The sequence below is a fragment of the Homo sapiens genome, chromosome 3, assembly GCF_000001405.40.
Source record: "Homo sapiens chromosome 3, GRCh38.p14 Primary Assembly".
NCBI classification, from domain to species: Eukaryota; Metazoa; Chordata; class Mammalia; order Primates; family Hominidae; genus Homo; species Homo sapiens.
In genome coordinates, this window is record NC_000003.12 from 152,307,594 (window position 1) to 152,325,183 (window position 17,590).

A 17,590-nucleotide genomic window follows, 5' to 3' on the forward strand; every position below is an offset into this window, starting at 1 on the left:
ACAGATGGACACACTGAAATACAGAGAAGTTAGGTAATACATGCAAGGTCAGTCAGCCAGTAAAATGTGGACTTGGAGCCTCGTAATCTGATTTCACAGCCTGTACTCTTAATTGTTTTGTTATGTTTGCTGGAAAACATTGCTTCTTAATTTCCATATGCATATTCTAAGGATTCGACAAAGAAAATATAACTAACAGCAGTACTTAAGAATAAAAATGAATATCCAAGACAAATTTATAGTACAGGGCCTAAAACAGTAAGTACTCAGAAGTAATCACTGTATTTTAAGTCAACAAATGAGTCAAGGAGTGAACCCAAAATAGCAGAAAGAATGCTGCCACCAACTTTCAAAGATGTTGTATCTGTTGTAAAATATATGGCCATATAGGAAAAATTTTAAATGAATCATCTTAGATAACTAGTCACTGTATAAACTATATAGCTGCCTCCCCAGTGCATAAAAAGCCATATTCAAAAGGTTTAATTGTTTAGAAAATGTTTTTCCACAGAAGCAAGGTGATTAAGTCATCGGGTCAACCCTGAGAAGCCAAAGTAGCCCAGAGGATGCTTGAGTTATAGTTCAGTACAAACAGTACCTTGGAAACCCTGGTTATTAATTAAACCCAAGAGGCTCCATAGAAGTGTTATCTTATCATAAATCTTGAGAACTCCTAGAGTCACAGACCCCAGCTGCTTTTGTCAAACTATTTCTGTGGCAAAGATGTATTTTAAATTTCAGTTTAGGGTTCCAGAAATTCAGCTTGCCTAGTGCAGGGGAGGTGGCCTTTCCCAAAGTCCTGGAACTCATGCTGTGAGCCAGTGTAGTTTTCCCCAGCTTTAACTTTGGGCTGCTTCTGTTTCCTGAAGCTAGTCTTTAATAGGGCATTTGCTTAGAATCAGCAGGATCTAAAGACAGGGTATGCAGTGAGGAGCTGGAGTCCAAAGCTTCCCACCTGTGTAACCTTTAGGGTGGGAAGGTGTCGTCAATATGTCTTCCAAGTGACCCCCATGTTTCTAAGGACTCAGCCTGCCTGTTTTTTGAATGTAGTGCTCATTGATCCTGGGCCCTGTCTACTGCAGAGCTTAATGAACAGCTTCTCCCCATTCTTCCCCCTCTCTGAAATTTTCAGCTGTGTGGTTGTTGCTGTTGTTTTCTAAATACTAGTAGCCATGGGGAAACAGGTAGATCATAAAAGTATCAAACTCAATTTTTGTTTTGTTTTGTTTTTTTTTTTGGCATTTTATCATAGGATATGGTCAAGAGACCGGTTGTAAAAACTCAGATGTGAGGAAGAAAACCATTAGGAGGTGATAAGGATTCAACAATTTAAGTAATATAACTTATGTACTTCCTATGTCAAACTTTAGGGAGGCAGATGTTAACAATACAGTCCTCAAGGAGCCGGTTACTAACAGGGAGACTAGTATATTAGGTGGTGGCGGCAATGGTTAGGAGGGGGAAGTTTCTCGACAGCAATTGCAGGGTCAGTGAAAGAGATACTTGAGGAAGAGAGAAAGAAATGGCTCTGGTGGTTTATCTTTCCTTTTTCCCCTTCCCTCTCTCTCACACTATTAATTATGACATCACAAGTGGGAATAAAAGAACTAGAGGGAATCCCCAGTAAAAGACTTCACATAGCCACAGGCCACCAGACTGTGGCAGCTGTCCCTGAATCATCATGGGTCAGTTGGTAACGACCTGTATTTTAACCCTAGATCACAATTTTAGGCCCAGCAAAATTGTTCTGAAGCTGTCTAGATTTATTAAGCTATATTTATATTTTAGTTTATGTTAATATGAGGTTGAGATCCAAGACCCTGTTTTCTCCAGACCTCATATGAGTACAGTATCTTAAGTTAGAATTTATCTCTCTGCATAAAAATCAGACCTAGTGCGTAGGCTTCTGGATCTCAGAATCACTTATACTTAAGTCCAGGCTGTTCTCAAATAAGGCAAGAAGCATCTGCTGTTAATAGCTGACAGTAAATTACACAAAGTAAAACATGGAAAATTAAAGTCAGAAAAGCTAGGAAGCTTTTCTATCATTTTCAATTTTCTGCAAAAATACAGACATAATCAGTGTTTAGGATCTGCTTGTGATGGATAAATTACATCTGTAATTCCTTCTTTTCCATATTACTGCATTCAGACGATAATTTGCTTTCAGATATCTTTGCTCATCTAATCGTTCATAGACTGGAAATAAGTAGTAACATCTCCCAATCCTAGGAAGCATTTATAACTAGTCTTTGCCTTTTTGGGTGTTGATAGACTAGTGGTGATTATAAGCTTTCGAGCTTCTGAAAAGCACAACGAAGATTAAAATAATCATAGGATAATAAAATACTTTAAAACCCTTCTAGTCTTTAATTTTAAAATGTTCCAGTAGAACACAAATTTGCTCAGGTAACACACAAGTAAGCATTAAATGCCTTCCTGTGTATCTGAGAAGTTTGTTATGAAATATTTTGGAAACCGCTGCATAGTCAGTGTAGGAGGAGCAGATGAATTTTAGCTGTGGTTATGTGTGCTGTAAAAGACTATACGTGCTTGTATTAGTCAGAATGAGTACACCACTAATTTTTGTATGGTAAGAGATTTATACTAAGCTCATCATCAGTTTCTATAATTCAGTGAGATAAAACTGAGTCAGATTGATTTTTAGGTAGCACATGTAGAAACAGCTAATTTTATTCCCCTGATTTGATCCTCATCTATTGATTATATAAACTAAAGAAGCTAAGAACAATTAACCCTTACGAGGTTACACAGTCAGGAGATGCTGAACTGAGATTCAGTGTAGAAAGTCTGTCTTCAGAGCCTATGCTTTTAGTCTTTATGCTAAGTTTAACTTGTTTAAATAGCAAGATTATGAAGCACTATACAGTGACCTCGTATAGACAAAAATATAGTATATTGATTATTAGAGAAACTACATATTAGACTGTTGTACATACGTGGGCAAGTATTTGTTAAATCATTTCAGTTGCCTAAATTTAAGCAACTGTGCTGTTTAAAACATGCTCATTCACATTTTTTCTTAATCTAGAAAGTCACTTCTGAATAATTGCTTGTTTAGATTTTCTCATTTGGTGTGGGAAATTTATATTAAAATTTTAACTAATATTCTAACAATACAGAGTCTGAACCTAAAGTCCAGAAGAATTTTAAGTCATGCCGCAGACAGGATGAACAGTATAGCAAATCAGAATAATAGACTGTTTGGGGGGGTTGGGGGGAACCCATGAGAATTTCAGGATTTCAAGATAAAGCTTGGAATTGAGGTAAAGGCATCAGATAAGGAAGTGTTTCATTTCATAACTTTTTTTTTGCTTGAAATATAATATATTTTAAATCACAAAAGTAGTATAACTGTTATTTTTCTAATGCACAGAACCATGAGACTTTTTTTTTTTTTTTTTTTTTTTTTGAGACAGAGTCCCACTCTGTCGCTCAGGCTGGAGTGTGGTGGTGCCATCTCAGCTTACTGCAACCTCCGCCTCCTGGGTTCAAGCGATTCTCCTGCCTCAGCCTCCTGAGTAGCTGGGATTACAGGCATGCACCACCATGCCCAGCTAATTTTTGTATTTTTACTAGAGGTGGGGTTTCACCATGTTGGTCAGGCTGGTATCAAACTCCTGACCTCGTGATCCGTCTGCCTTGGTCTCCCAAAGTGCTGGGATTACAGGCGTGAGCCACTGCGCCCAGCTCAAGGCATTATTTTATAAGAGGCTGAGATTTTATTCATCTTACTAGGCATTTATTTATATTATATTGTTTCTAATATATGCCTAGTAAGACAGAAATATGCTTAAAAACCTTTGTAAATCTTTACAAGTTGTACTATATTAAGTTAAAATCCAGATGAAACCATTCACCACCTCTTTGACAATGATTCATATATCTTATTGTATGTCATGCTTGTTTGTGATTTTGAGTATTACATTTCAGAAATTTTCTAGGACTAAAATTTCAGTAGTTTATTTTAATTTTTTGTTTATTTGTAATAATTATCAATAATGCTGAAATATTTAGATCTAGTAGGTAGAATTTTTTTCATGTGAATACATTAATTTTAATGATGTATTTAAAAATAGCTCACACTATTCTTTTTAAGACTTTTGTTATATGTAATTGGACAAAAATTTGACCATGTAAATATAAGAATCGTTGATTCTATTTTGTTCATGATATGGCATAAAGAGCATGTTTGCTCTCAAAAAACATGGGTTTGAGAAGATGAAATTTCTGGGCATACTGGGTATTTAGTAGCTATCAGATTGTAATCCTGAACTCTTAAGAGATGTATCTCGGATGGGCGCGGTGGCTCACGCCTGTAATCCCAGCACTTTGGGAGGCCGAGGCGGGCGGATCACGAGGTCAGGAGATCGAGACCATCCCGGCTAAAAACGGTGAAACCCCGTCTCTACTAAAAATACAAAAAAATTAGCCGGGCGTAGTGGCGGGCGCCTGTAGTCCCAGCTACTTGGGAGGCTGAGGCGGGAGAATGGCGTGAACCCGGGAGGCGGAGCTTGCAGTGAGCCGAGATCCCGCCACTGCACTCCAGCCTGGGCGACAGAGCGAGACTCCGTCTCAAAAAAAAAAAAAAAAAAAAAGAGATGTATCTCAAATATTAGAATTGATCATGTTATTTAAAATACTCCATGGGAAATATAATTATTTTTATGGAACAGTTCATTTGGATGAATGGTAGCTTGAACAGAAACTTTCGATACCAATAGCTAGTGTTATAAGTGTCCTTTCCTGAAACTCTTGCCACGCATTGTGTTTTGGCGATTTTCATGGTTGTACGAATTTAGTCAGACAGCCAATTAGAAATATATTTTTAGAAAATTAAAAATGAATTTATGTGGATTCAATGAGATCAGTTGGGTAAATCCCTTAATTCAGTGTCATGCTCATGTAAATACTCCATAAATGGTAGCCATTAGTATTGATTGTTCTTATCTGAATGCCAGAGTTTAGTCTAAGTTATCTTTCTTCTTATGGGAGGAACTTTGTCTTAGGTCAGAATAAAGATTGTTATATAGATTCAAACTTGGTATGTAATTCAAACTTATTTTATGTTCAAGACTAAATTGATCATAGGGAAAAGTGACTGGTGTTCCTTGTCCTTTCATTTCATTTCTCTGGACGCTTTCTTCATTGGTTTACATTAGCTATAGTGTAACTTTTTATTGTGTTTTGGTATTTTCTGAGTGTCTAGATTGGCCTGTATGCTCTTTTCTTTGGGATGAAATTTGTAATAAAAATTATTTTGTAGCAAATAAATACTGGCGACAGGAATAATGACAATGTGACTACCAGTGGTTTTCACTTCATTCCCAGTGTCACGTTTAGAATTTTCATCAAACTAGGATCTTCAGAATAATTGCAAAAAGCCACATGAAAAAATGTGCAAGTGAAAACTTTTTTTTTTTTTTGAGACGGAGTCTCGCCCTTTCACCCAGGCTGGAGTGCAATGGCACGATCTCGGCTCACTGCAACCTCCACCTCCTGGGTTCAAGCGATTCTCCTGCCTCAGCCTCCTGAGTAGCTGGAATTACAGGCGTGCACCACCACACCTGGCTGATTTTTTTTTATCTTTAATAGAGACAGGGTTTCACCATGTTGGCCAGGCTGGTCTCAAACTCCTGACCTTGTTGTCTGCCTGCCTCGGCCTCCCAAAGTGCTGGGATTACAGGTGTGAGCCACCGCGCCCGGCCAACATTTTATTTTTTATGGCAAAGAATCAAGACTTTGTTAAGAGCCTAAACCGTGGATTCAGCTGGATCTGAGTTTGATACCATAGTGACTTCCTAGTGACATTGTGCCAATCACTTTACTGTCCCAAGCTGGTTTCCTTATCTGTAAAACAAGTCTAGTATCATTTGCTTTCAAGATTTGTGAGGATTCAATGAGATCAGTTAGATATAAATCATTTAATGTAGTGTCTTACTCCATGTAAATACTCCATAGATACTAACGGTAGCCGTTTGTATTGTTCTTATCTGAATGACAGAGTTCAGTCTAAGTTATCTTTCTCTTATGGGAGAAACTTTGCCTTAGGTCATAGTGAATGTTATTTGTCATTATGCACATTGCACTACAGGTCTCTGTGTTGTTTGAAAAAATTAAAAAGGACTTAACCTTGAATGTATATAAGTGTGCACATACTAGCTTATTTATTTACCTGTTATCAAGAGAAAATAACCCCTTAACCTCTTAACATATGTATGACTTGACTACTAGCTAAACCAGTAGGTATTAATGGAATAATTCAGAATTTATATTGTCTGTACCTGAAAATTCATTTTGTAAATGCAGTTAAGTATGAATGGAAAAATGGTTGTAGCCATCTGTTAGCAAATCTAAATTCATTTAAAACTAATCCTATTTAGCTTTATGCTGGTCTACAATAAATAATTCATACTTGATATTTCAAATGCTGTATTATTTATGTAAATTTTCTCCTAAAAGACTCACCTAAGACTTTTCTAGAAATAAAATTGTTTATTCAGCAAAGTACCTGCACAGATTAGAAGGTTAAATATTAAAGTTTATTTTTTCATGATTGCACTATTCTTTTCTATTTTTTTATACCTATATAAACTTAATTGGTCAAATATCTACCACTCACTTCCTCAAATGTGTAAAGAAGCATCCAAATCCATAATACTCTGTTTATCACAGCTTTTTTTTTTTCCCCCTTTCACTGTCACTCAGAATCGATAGGGATCCAATTCTAGCCTGTTGAAATGGTCCGTTTTGCTCCAAGACTTTTTTTTTTTTTTTGAGGTGGGAGTTTAGCTCTTGTTGCCCAGGCTGGAGTACAATAGCGTGATCTTGGCTCACCGCAGCCTCCACCTCCCGGGTTGAAGCGATTCTCCTGCCTCAGCCTCCCAAGTAGCTAGGATTACAGGCATGTGCTACCACGCCCGGCTAATTTTGTATTTTTAGTAGAGACAGAGTTTCTCCTTGTTGGTCAGGCTGGTCTTGAACTTCCAACCTCAGGCGATCCGCCTGTCTCAGCCTCCCAAAGTGCTGAGATTATAGGTGTGAGCCACCATGCCTGGCCTAGCTCCAAAATTTTAAAAAGCATTTGCCTCATTTATGAGTTTGAGACTTTTAACATCATTAGAAATAGGAGAGCATGTACTTTTTCCAGCAAGTGTAAAGGGGGAAACAAACACCAAAACCCCATCTCCCTGATTTTTTTGGCTTTTCAGAAATAATACAGCCTAGTCCTATGGCCAGTTCTGGGTTTTTCTTGACAGCGTCTGTAACTGTTCTTGTTATAGTCTAATTCTGGGTATGAGTTATGTGTTTACAGTTTGATTTACTGAGCCATGCCACTGCATTCTTGTTAAGGTTATTGATTATTGCCCATTCTGTTCTGCTGTGTATTATTGATTTAGTGTGTGACAATGAGTTAATTGTATTACTTGATGTTGAAGAAGGATCAAATATCTGTTCAAAGGGGATGCTTGTAGCCTGTGTAATTGAGTTGGCTATTTCAGGCTTTTAACATGTTGTGAAACAATTAGGAGAAAGTACAGGAGGACCTCTGAGGGCAGGGAACATAAAATTTGTTTTCAGCTTTTTCGCAGTTGCCAAAAATGGTGCCGTAAGGCTTTCCTGGAATTAAGTAGTCAGTTGGTATTTGGTTAGCAGATGCTTTGTAAAACCTAATATATTCCCACTATATTTCCTTTAAAAATCAAGGGGGGGTTAACACCTTTAGATTGTCATGTTTTATTGAGAAAAATCCACTTCTCTGAAACTCCCTATTACTGGATATAAGAAAAAATAACAAGCAAGATGTGTTGTGTATGTTGGTGCCCACATTTTGGAGGAAATTACAGAGATAGAAAATTAAGCTAAATTATTAAGAATCTGATGAGTTCTTTTTGCTTACTACAGTTTTGTTTCGTATTTGATAAAAAAATTTCCATGTAATAACATTTAAGATAAAGCCAGTATTATTTTCTTTGACATTATTTTGCAGTTTGAATTTTCTAAGCTTTAGACAATTCACACTTAATGTAAAAAAAAAAATTAACCTTCAGAATGAGATCATGGTGCCATGGTTCTCTAATGAATGTTACCTTTTGTTTTAGCAGCTCAGTTGGCTCTAATCCATGGAAAAGTTTTTATTTCCCATCAGCTCCAAAGTAGGAGCCAAACCAAAGTTTAAAGAAACGTTTTCCAGCAGACAAGTTTCTACAGATAATAGTGAAAGCGTGTGAACACACACACACACACACACACTCTCTCTCTCTCTCTCTCTCACTCCTCTCTCTCTCACACACATATGCGCGCGCACACACCCACACGTCTTATGGAAATATTAAATCAGGAAGAATTTCTGAAGTTCTCATAATAAAAATAACTGTAATATTAATAAAGTACTCCTTATCAGTTATTTCTCGTCACATTGTGGCCCCAAGGGTTTGCTTGACTTTTCAAAATGTATTTGCTTCAGGATAAATTGAAGAAGTACCACTCTCTCCCTGTATTAATACCTTTCAGGGCTTTTGATCTGTAACCTCTTGTCACCTCTGGTTTATCTGGCTTAGCATATGAATTTTGAAGAATGAGGGAGCATAAACAATTATGACTGCCTTTTAAAAAATGCACGTTAAACCTGCGGCCTCAAACTTGTCAGTTCTGAACTTTAACAGTAGAAAAGTGAAAACTCAGCGTTGAAAGTAGAGAGTGTAAGAGATTTTGCCAGTTGGACCACTTTGCTGCAAATACCTATTAGACCCAAACCTTTCTTTTGCCTAGTGATCAGCTATACTAATAGCAAGATCCACTTAATTCCATGTGAGTCAACAGCTTGCATGGCATGCCCACTGTGTGCAAATAGCTTCTCAGGTACTTTTCCAAGCGTCCTGCCTGCACAAAGCAGAAGAGACTTGGAATATATTTATTTATTCTCTCACCCCACTGCTTGCTCTATCACCTAGACCTTCATGCTCCATCACCTAGTCCTGCTTGCTCCATCACCTAGTTGGAATTTCTAAATCAACAGACATGGGCAGATATATATTTTAAAAGCTGTGTGCCTCTGATTAACAACCATTCCTTTAATACTGCTGAGAGGTTCTGGGAACATAGTATTTTTGCCATGACTTCTCAATCTATAGAGAAGATGTATTTATCTCCTAAGGATAAAACCATCTGGAAATTTTCACATGCTCCAGACTTTCAGATAGAGCTGGCTTTGCCTTCTCTTTTTCTTCCTCCTCTTCCTTCTTTTTCTTCTTTTATTTATTTATTTATTTTGCTTTGCTTATTAAAACTATGGATGAATTTTTAAAAAGATTAAGAAGATAAAATAACCTTCTCACCTGCTTAGTAATTTCTTATTCATAGTTAGAAGGTACAGTAACTGTTTCATAACTGTCCCCATTAAATTTCTGATTCAAAAAATATATATTTTTCTTTATAAATACCGTTTCCTATGATTTTTGGTCCCTAAAAAGCAAACAAAAAAAAGCTACTTGATGGTACCTTGGTTGTAGTTAGCAGGTCTCCATTTTCTACAGATCTTCCATTCTGCTTTATTAACTTCCTTTATTAATGACAAATCAGCCAGTTGATAAAATAATGTGTTAACTTTTAAAAGATTCTTATAAATTTATGTGGAGTTCTGTGACTACCTGATATGACTTTGTGACTATTTTAGTTGTATAAAGAATTTCAAATTATTTATTCCTTTAAAAAAATTTTTTTTTCAGAGACAGTCTCACTGTCACTCAGGCTGGAGTGCAGTGGCGCAATCTTAGCTCACTGCAACTTCCACTTCCTGGGTTTAAGTGATTCTCCCGCCTCAATCTCCTGAGTATCTGGGATTACAGGCATGCACCACCATGCCGGGCTAATTTTTGTATTTTTTGTATAGATGAGGTTTCAGCATGTTACCCAGGCTGGCCTTGAAATCCTGAGCTCAAGCGATCCACCCACCTTGGCCTCTGAAAGTGTTGGGATTACAGGCGTGAGCCACCGTGCCTGGCCTATTTTTTGTTTTATTTTTTTAATCTTGAAATAACTCCACAGTTATCTCCAAGTAAGTCTAATATCTTCTCTTTGAATTTCTAACTGATTCTTATTTATAAACCCATAGAATCTGTAAACCCACAAACAAATGATTCTTCATCGATCAAGTTCTGTTTTCAAATAGATGTTCAACGAGATGTTCAAAAAGACGATAAAGGATACATTGTAACCTAAGGACTTTATTTCGTTCATTTGGTCATTTACCTTTTAATTGTAGTGGACTTAAATGTATACAGATTTTCATGTACAACAAGTAGTATCCTTTAGCTGCAACAAATGAATAGATTAGCCTATGTGAATATAGTTTTGCAAAATATTAATGTATGAAAGTAGTCCTAAGACTGCAAGTACTGTTGCTTTAGAACTTCATGCATAAATTGGGTGTGTTGTTACAGGATACAGAGAAAATTGATGGTCAACCTTAGCCTGTAGTATATTTTGACAGTGTGAATGAGTCAAGCAAGCAATTTTCCAGACTGTTTAATGGTACAAAGGAAAGGGCTGCTAAGGAAGTCATTCTTATGACTAGCTGAAAAATATTTTTCTTAGTGACTGTTCTAGAGAAAAACAGGTCACCGTTGGAAGAAAAAAGCAGTCTCACGTTACAAGCATTTTGAAAGTGGTTTGATCATTAAAATGTATTTATCTTACGACAAAACTTAAAACGGATACTGCTTACTATATTTGCAATGTCTTGAAACTCAACAAGAAATTATGTAGCATCATTACAAGTTTTAATTCATGGTAGAATTTTGGAGATTATATTTATTGAGCTATGTTTTTTATTTCATTAGTACAAATAAAACTGCATTTTATTTGTTCTAATGATAAAATGTTTTAAGTTTATAAAATTACTGCAAATGTATTCCACTGTGTGGTTCTAAACTGCATTTGAATTAAAATAGGACTTGATTGATGGAGAATCATTTGTTTGTGGGTTTACAGATTCTCTTCTAGGTAGTTTGAAAAGATTCATTGTCCAGCAGCAACTGTTCACCCAGAGACATAGTGCTTAGCATGAGCTTGATGGATTCAAACCACTGGGTTTATCATTACTACATAGATCTTTGAAAAGACAGGCTGCAAATCTTGTTTCTAAGCTGTGACTAGCTATTATTATGTCAATTTGAAGAACAGAAGTAAAATCAATCCAGATTCAAAAAAAGACACTCTACAGGCATTCACAGACTGCAACCAGTTCAAATTGTAATATCCTGCCTATTTAAAGTCCCCTGATTATTATGATTATTCAATATCATGTTAATATTTAAAACTTGGAATACAACCTACTAACCTTATTTTTATTTGTACTACTGGAAGTTCCTCTAGCATTTTTGAAGTAGCTTGGAAAAAAATTGAGATTCAGTTGTGGTTCTACTTACATTTTTACTAGAGTAAGTTGGAGAGACAAATCAGTGAGTAGTCAAGTCTTCATATAATCAAAGCTTTTAAAATATGATAACAAAAACTTCAGGTGTTAGATTTAGCTTCACGGAAAACCTTTTTTTGGGGGGCCTAAGTTTAAAATGTGTTTTTTCTTTGCATTTTAAAAGATTGCTTGTGCAGTGTTCAATGGTTTTGTTTAGCATTTAGAGATGATTTTTTCCTTTGTCACTTTCCACATTGAACTCTGCTGATTTAGTGTGTTAGAATTGCCATCAGAAGAGTCCTTAGAAATGATGTCATGCAGTTCATTAGTTTTACAGATAGGGAACCAAGGAGTGGTGAGGTTAGGGTTTAATCATATCCATAAAGATCTTGAGGTCATTAGGACCCTTTAAATGTGACTAGTTAAATCACAGCAAAAACTAGAATATATTGTCTTCATTTCAGGAAAATGGCATCATTGACACACCTGACAGATGAAAACTGCTATTAAGGTCGAGTCCAAGTGACAAAACTTTCTTGACTGTTCTGAGGCCTTGGTTACGGTGGCATTAAAGTTCTATACTGTTTTTTTTTTTTTTTTTTTTTTTTTGGCTGGACAACAGACTCTCCAAAAAAATGCATGTGTATACATTATGCTTATTATAAAATTTACTAATAAAATGACATGGAAGACAATTAAAATTATAATAAAATATACAATGCTCAACATTTAAATTCTATATGGCCAATTGATTCTTACAGAATGCCTTTTTGATTTTTGTCCAACTCTTGCATCTGTAGTCAACCTGTGGTCGCAATTGACAGAAGAGTTTAATTCTTTCTTTGTGCTCTTACTCCTGGGTCCCTCATTGTACAGTGATCATCAAATGCAACATCCTTCATGAAAATGAATAGCTTCACTTTTTGGCATTTCCTTCCTTTTTATGTGTCATAGAATACACTACATTATTCTTGATTTTACAGTTAATTTGTAAATTGTTTCTAACCCCCACTAGTTTATAAACTCCTTAAGAATGAGAAGCTTGCATTAATCACTTCTATATATATAGTGTTTTGAATATCCTTGGCATTCATTAAATGTTTAGTGAATTGAATGCGATGTTTCTTCCAGACTATGACCAATAATTGTGAGAAGATTTTATGTGTTTTTAAATTCAACTTTAGAGAATTTCTTTTTGTGTAATAGGACATTTGTTGGACAGCAACATGTAATTACTCATAAAATGTTTCTCTGCGGAGTCCAGCATCCTTCATTTGTGATAGGACTCATCCAGTTAAATTGCTCAGGCACTATAATGGACTATTTATGTTCTGTTGATGTAAATTTCTAGAACAGGCCTTTCCCTGGACTCATGCCATGTTTTGTATGTTATCTTGTGCAGGCAGCACATGGGGACCTAGTCAGGCTTCCTGATATGATAGCTGTATATACAGCCCATGTCTCAGAGGGGAATGATAAATTGGCCTGTGCAGTGACACAATACACAGTTATTTTGGTGACAGTATTAACTCTCTTTTCATAAGGGTGCTTTGTTGGAAAACTATTCAGCTTAACACAGAATATTTAGCTTTCAAAGGTTGCATAGGGAGAAATGATACTGCCAGGATAGAAACATTATCAGTTTTTTCTTTCTTTTTTTTTTTTTTTAATCTTTTTTGACTCTACCGAGAATATTGAAAAGAGTTTTGATTAGTATTGGTGTTTATTACGAGAGGAACATTCTGGGAACCAGACTATTAGTATAATTATTATTGTTTTTATTATCAAACTAATAGCACTAACAAGGACATACGGTATTTGTCAAGGGATTCCTATATCTCTGTTACACCTAAATTTCTCTATACTCTAATTTTAGAAAAAAAGTTTTGTCTTCCAACTGTGAATACTTTATAGTGTTGCAACTTCTGCTTCTAATCTTTAATCTGAAGTAGAAAAGAGAATCCAAGCTTCCAAGAAGTATGTCTCTAGACTCTGCCACTTATTAACTTGCTCCTTATTTTTTCTCTCCAACAATTATTTTAAGATCTGTATGATATAAGCTATTTTTAGAAGAACTGAAAAGTTCTAGAGAGTAAAAAAATGTTCCAGATTGTGTGTTGGTGCCAGTAGTACTGACAATTAAATATTTGATTGAGGAGAAACCTACATTTATCCACTTTGAAGAGGATCATCAGGGGAGTTAAAAATTTAGTACTTCAGGCTCATTAAGAGTTAGAATAGAGTAATTATGTAGCTGGTAACAAATGCTACAATCACCACTTGAGCATTGTGATATGTTACTCATTGAGACTTACTGGCCTTCTTCAGGGAACTTCAGATTTTATAAAAGTCATTTGCTTAGAGAGTAAAGTTCTGCTAATCCATTATTTTAGTTCTGTCATCTTTTTCTGCAAATAGGGTGAGTTTTCCGAGAGGGTAAGTCCCTGGTAATAATCTTAAAAATGATACAACTTTACAGAATATCTCCCCTTGCCATGAAGCAATACTTAATGTCTTGAACAGTGAGCCTCTTGTTCATGCAGCATTTAAAAGAGATGAGTGTAGAGGTCTTCCTTCTACATTCATTTTATTCGTTAGTAATTGAGAAGCAGGTCTAATTTTCTAATCTTGCAAGTTGGGAAATTATTAAAATGCTCAAGAGACAGTAGATCAAGCCTGGTGTCCCTTTCTCCATCAAATTTTAAAGGATTTTTTTTTCCTCAGTAATTCTGCCTTTGTGTATTTCCAATCTTGCTTCCTATTTGCATTGCACACAGTGGCATGTCAATTTCAAAAGAAAATGTATTCAGATCTACTTTCAAACTAACTGAAAGAGATAGTGGTATTTATTTTATCCTGAGGTTTTGTTGTTGTTGTTATGGTTGTTCTTTGTTTTTTAAATCTGGACATATCAGTAATCTCCTAAGAGAATCTATTCCAAACACAGAGACTGTTTATTCTTGTTTTAGATACTGTTTTAAAAGCCAGGTTATGTTATTATAGTATAGATATTTTAAAAAATAATGAAAACAGAGTTTTTTTAACCATATTTTTGTACTGCATAAAAATGCAGTGACAAGAGAAAAACATTAGAACTCTGTCATACTCCTAATATAGACCATTGCTGTTAGGTTTCTAACTCCATGTTCCCTGTCTGGAAGCTTTATAAGGCCGTGCCTTAGTCTTCTTAAGCCTAACACATTGTAGCCTTCCAATAAATATTACTTTATTTGTATTAAATTTAAAATGGAATAGAATGTGGTACATCACCAGCGTTCATAGCTCCTGACCCATGCCATAACTTTCCTTGCCCCATCCCCAAGATTAAAAAAACACAAACTATTAGACTAATTATAGTCATTACAGTTGTAAATTAGGTCATGCATTTCATTAAAAATTGACGCAGCTCCCTTTTTGAAAGGCTATGTCACGGAAATGCAAACTAGCCTTGTATATAGAACACTAAAATCATTTAACTTGAATTATTCTAATTACGATACCACAAAGATTAAAAAATACATCTATATTATCTCAGTCTGATAACTGGGCTGGGAAAAAATGTCAGTTTTGATATGTAACAAGATTGGTATGAGTTATTTTACGTGACAGTTTTATTGATTGATTTTTTTCATTTATAATCACTAATTTTGTGAGGTTTTCTCCCCTGCAGCAGTGGACTGAAAAAGTTAACATTTTTCTGGCATTTTTTAAGCGCTAAGAGTAGAAATCAATAGTTAAATTGACCTAATAAAAGATCTGTGCATCCTACTACTGTGACAAGAAGAGCAACAGAAAGCAACATGTATAGACTCTTAACAAGGCTCAAGGCACATTTTGGATTTGTTTTGCATATGAATTTAATAAGCATGAGACAGTGCTAGTGAATTACATTTGTTTTATTGAGTCTATTTAAGCCAGGATACTGTTAAGTAATAGACTGACGGTTTGTGGGAGCCAGATTCAGTAACAGGTCAGCAACAGACTTGCCACATGCCAAAAATGGGGTTATACTGGTTTCAGTTTGCTAACTGCCTAAGTAAACTTGTGTAGAATTTGCATTTTTTGCTTTGCAATTACTGGTTACTTCTCTTTAACATTACATTTGCATTCTATGTAAAAAATAGATTTTATATTTAATTCAAAATTTATCCAAATGTACTTACTCATTGGACATTATTTTTAAATGATAAAGGAACTTAAAAAAGTGATAGGATCAATATAGTAATAATTCTAACTCCCTTTTATACCCATATAAAATTCATTTAACTAGACTTATTCATTCAACAATATTGTTAAATAACCTAAAGGAATTTTTTTAAAGAAATAGTGTAAACATACAAATATGAATAATTTGAACTCCCTTTTATATAAATATATCTGTAGTCACTAACTGTAAATAATTTAAAAAATATATATGTACACACACGTGCGTGCACACACACACACACGTCATGCCTTAACAATGGGGATATATTCTGTGTGTCATTAGGGTATTTCATTGTTGTGTGTACATCATAGAGTATACTTACACAAACCTAAATGGTATAGCCTACTACACATCTAGGCTGTATAGTACGGCCTATTGCTCCTAGGCTGCAAACGTATACAGCCTGTTATCCTATTGAATACTGTAGGCAGTTGTAACATAATGTTATGTATTTGTGTATCAAAACATACTCAAACGTAGAAAAGATATTGTGTTGTGCTATGAGGTTATGATGTCTACAAATGTCACTGGGTGGTAGGAATTTTTCAGCTCCATTGTAATCTTATGGGACCACCATCATATATGTGGGTCCTTTGTTGACTGAAGCGTTGTTATACAGCTATTGACTATAGTTAGTGAAAAAATCTAGTTCTATGATTGGTTTTGTTCCCTCCTTTCTTATGATCACTATTCATTCAACACCTTTTATATGACATGCAGTTTGAAAGCACAGGGTATGCAAAAATTATCCCCGTTTTCGGTTGCAGTATCTGTTGCTGACCCAGATAACTTCATTTCCTTCAGCTGTGCTTTCATTTTCAACTTCTCTAGTTGGAAATAAATCCTCTTGTGTTGCCCCTTGAGGGAGAAATCGTTTAGCAGGAAATCACTTACTAATCACAGTTCATTAATCACATATAAAGAATACTTTATAAATGTCAACTGTCATTCATAGAAAATGTATGTTACCTTGAGGAATGTCTATGAATTACTTATTCATTTTCATTGCCTTTCACACATTATATTCCTTAGGAGTTTATTAATTTCAAATATAAATTGACTATGACTTATACAGAGTCTTGCAAACAAGAGAGATAGCAGTTTTGCACCTTTTCTTTGATTTACTTGTTATCTTCCTGGTCATGTAGTTAGTCTGTTAAAGTCACTCTGCCTGTATAGCTTGTTGAAGGTTACAGGCAGTGGAGTGCTGGAACTGGTTTATGTCGAGACCTCTTCCCAATTCCATGTTCAATGATGTCTTTGTTGATAGCTTAAAATTGGCTATGGTGAGAGCGTTTACACTTTGGAAATTGGCAGATGGCAACCATAGTTCTCTCCTAGACAACCACTTATTAAACCTTTAGCAGCACTCACTGTTTATAGTGTTCTTTTTCGTTTTTTAAAAATACTTTTATTATGAGGAATAGCCATGTAGAATTTTATTTCCAGATATTTTGTTGTTTAAAACCCTAAGAACATCACTCACTATACCAATTGCCAACTGAGTAACTGGGAAAGTTACTTAGCTTTTCTGTGCCCAAATGTCCTTATCTGTAAGACGGGGATGATAATAATAGCACGTACCTTGGGATTGATGTGAGGTTGAATAAGAAACACATTTATTTCAGTGAATACATAATGACCTGGAATGAATACTCAAATAATGCTACCTGTTATCTCTCTGTACTTTAATTAATAGATATTTATTGATCCCTTACTAAGTACTTAGCATTTTGCCATGTACAGTGGGTCATCTACTGAGACTCAGTACCTCCCACATCAAGTTATTAGCCACATTGACCTGTGGCAAATGACTTCTTTTGATGTTCCCATGTAATGCCACATACCCGCCCCCCCCCGCCCGCTTTTTTTTCATTTGTTTTTGTTTGTTTTTTGGTCTTTCTGCCTGGGACTCTTTTTTCTTCCTACATGAGTTTTGCAGACCT

The 17,590-nt window shown here is 35.4% G+C and overlaps 1 protein-coding gene across 130 annotated transcripts in view, besides 1 other annotated feature; it reads left to right on the top strand.

Annotated features, from left to right (window-relative positions):
- The window catches only part of MBNL1 (muscleblind like splicing regulator 1), a 222,149-nt gene that overhangs the window by 63,962 nt on the left and 140,597 nt on the right, over positions 1 to 17,590 (top strand). The gene's annotated exons all lie outside the window — the stretch shown is intronic.
- Positions 16,122 to 16,171: an enhancer, noted in NCBI's record as "active region_20708". NCBI's record gives its function as "activates an Ori minimal core promoter by ATAC-STARR-seq in GM12878 lymphoblastoid cells {active_cell/tissue: GM12878}" and the evidence as "EXISTENCE:reporter gene assay evidence [ECO:0000049][PMID:35858748]".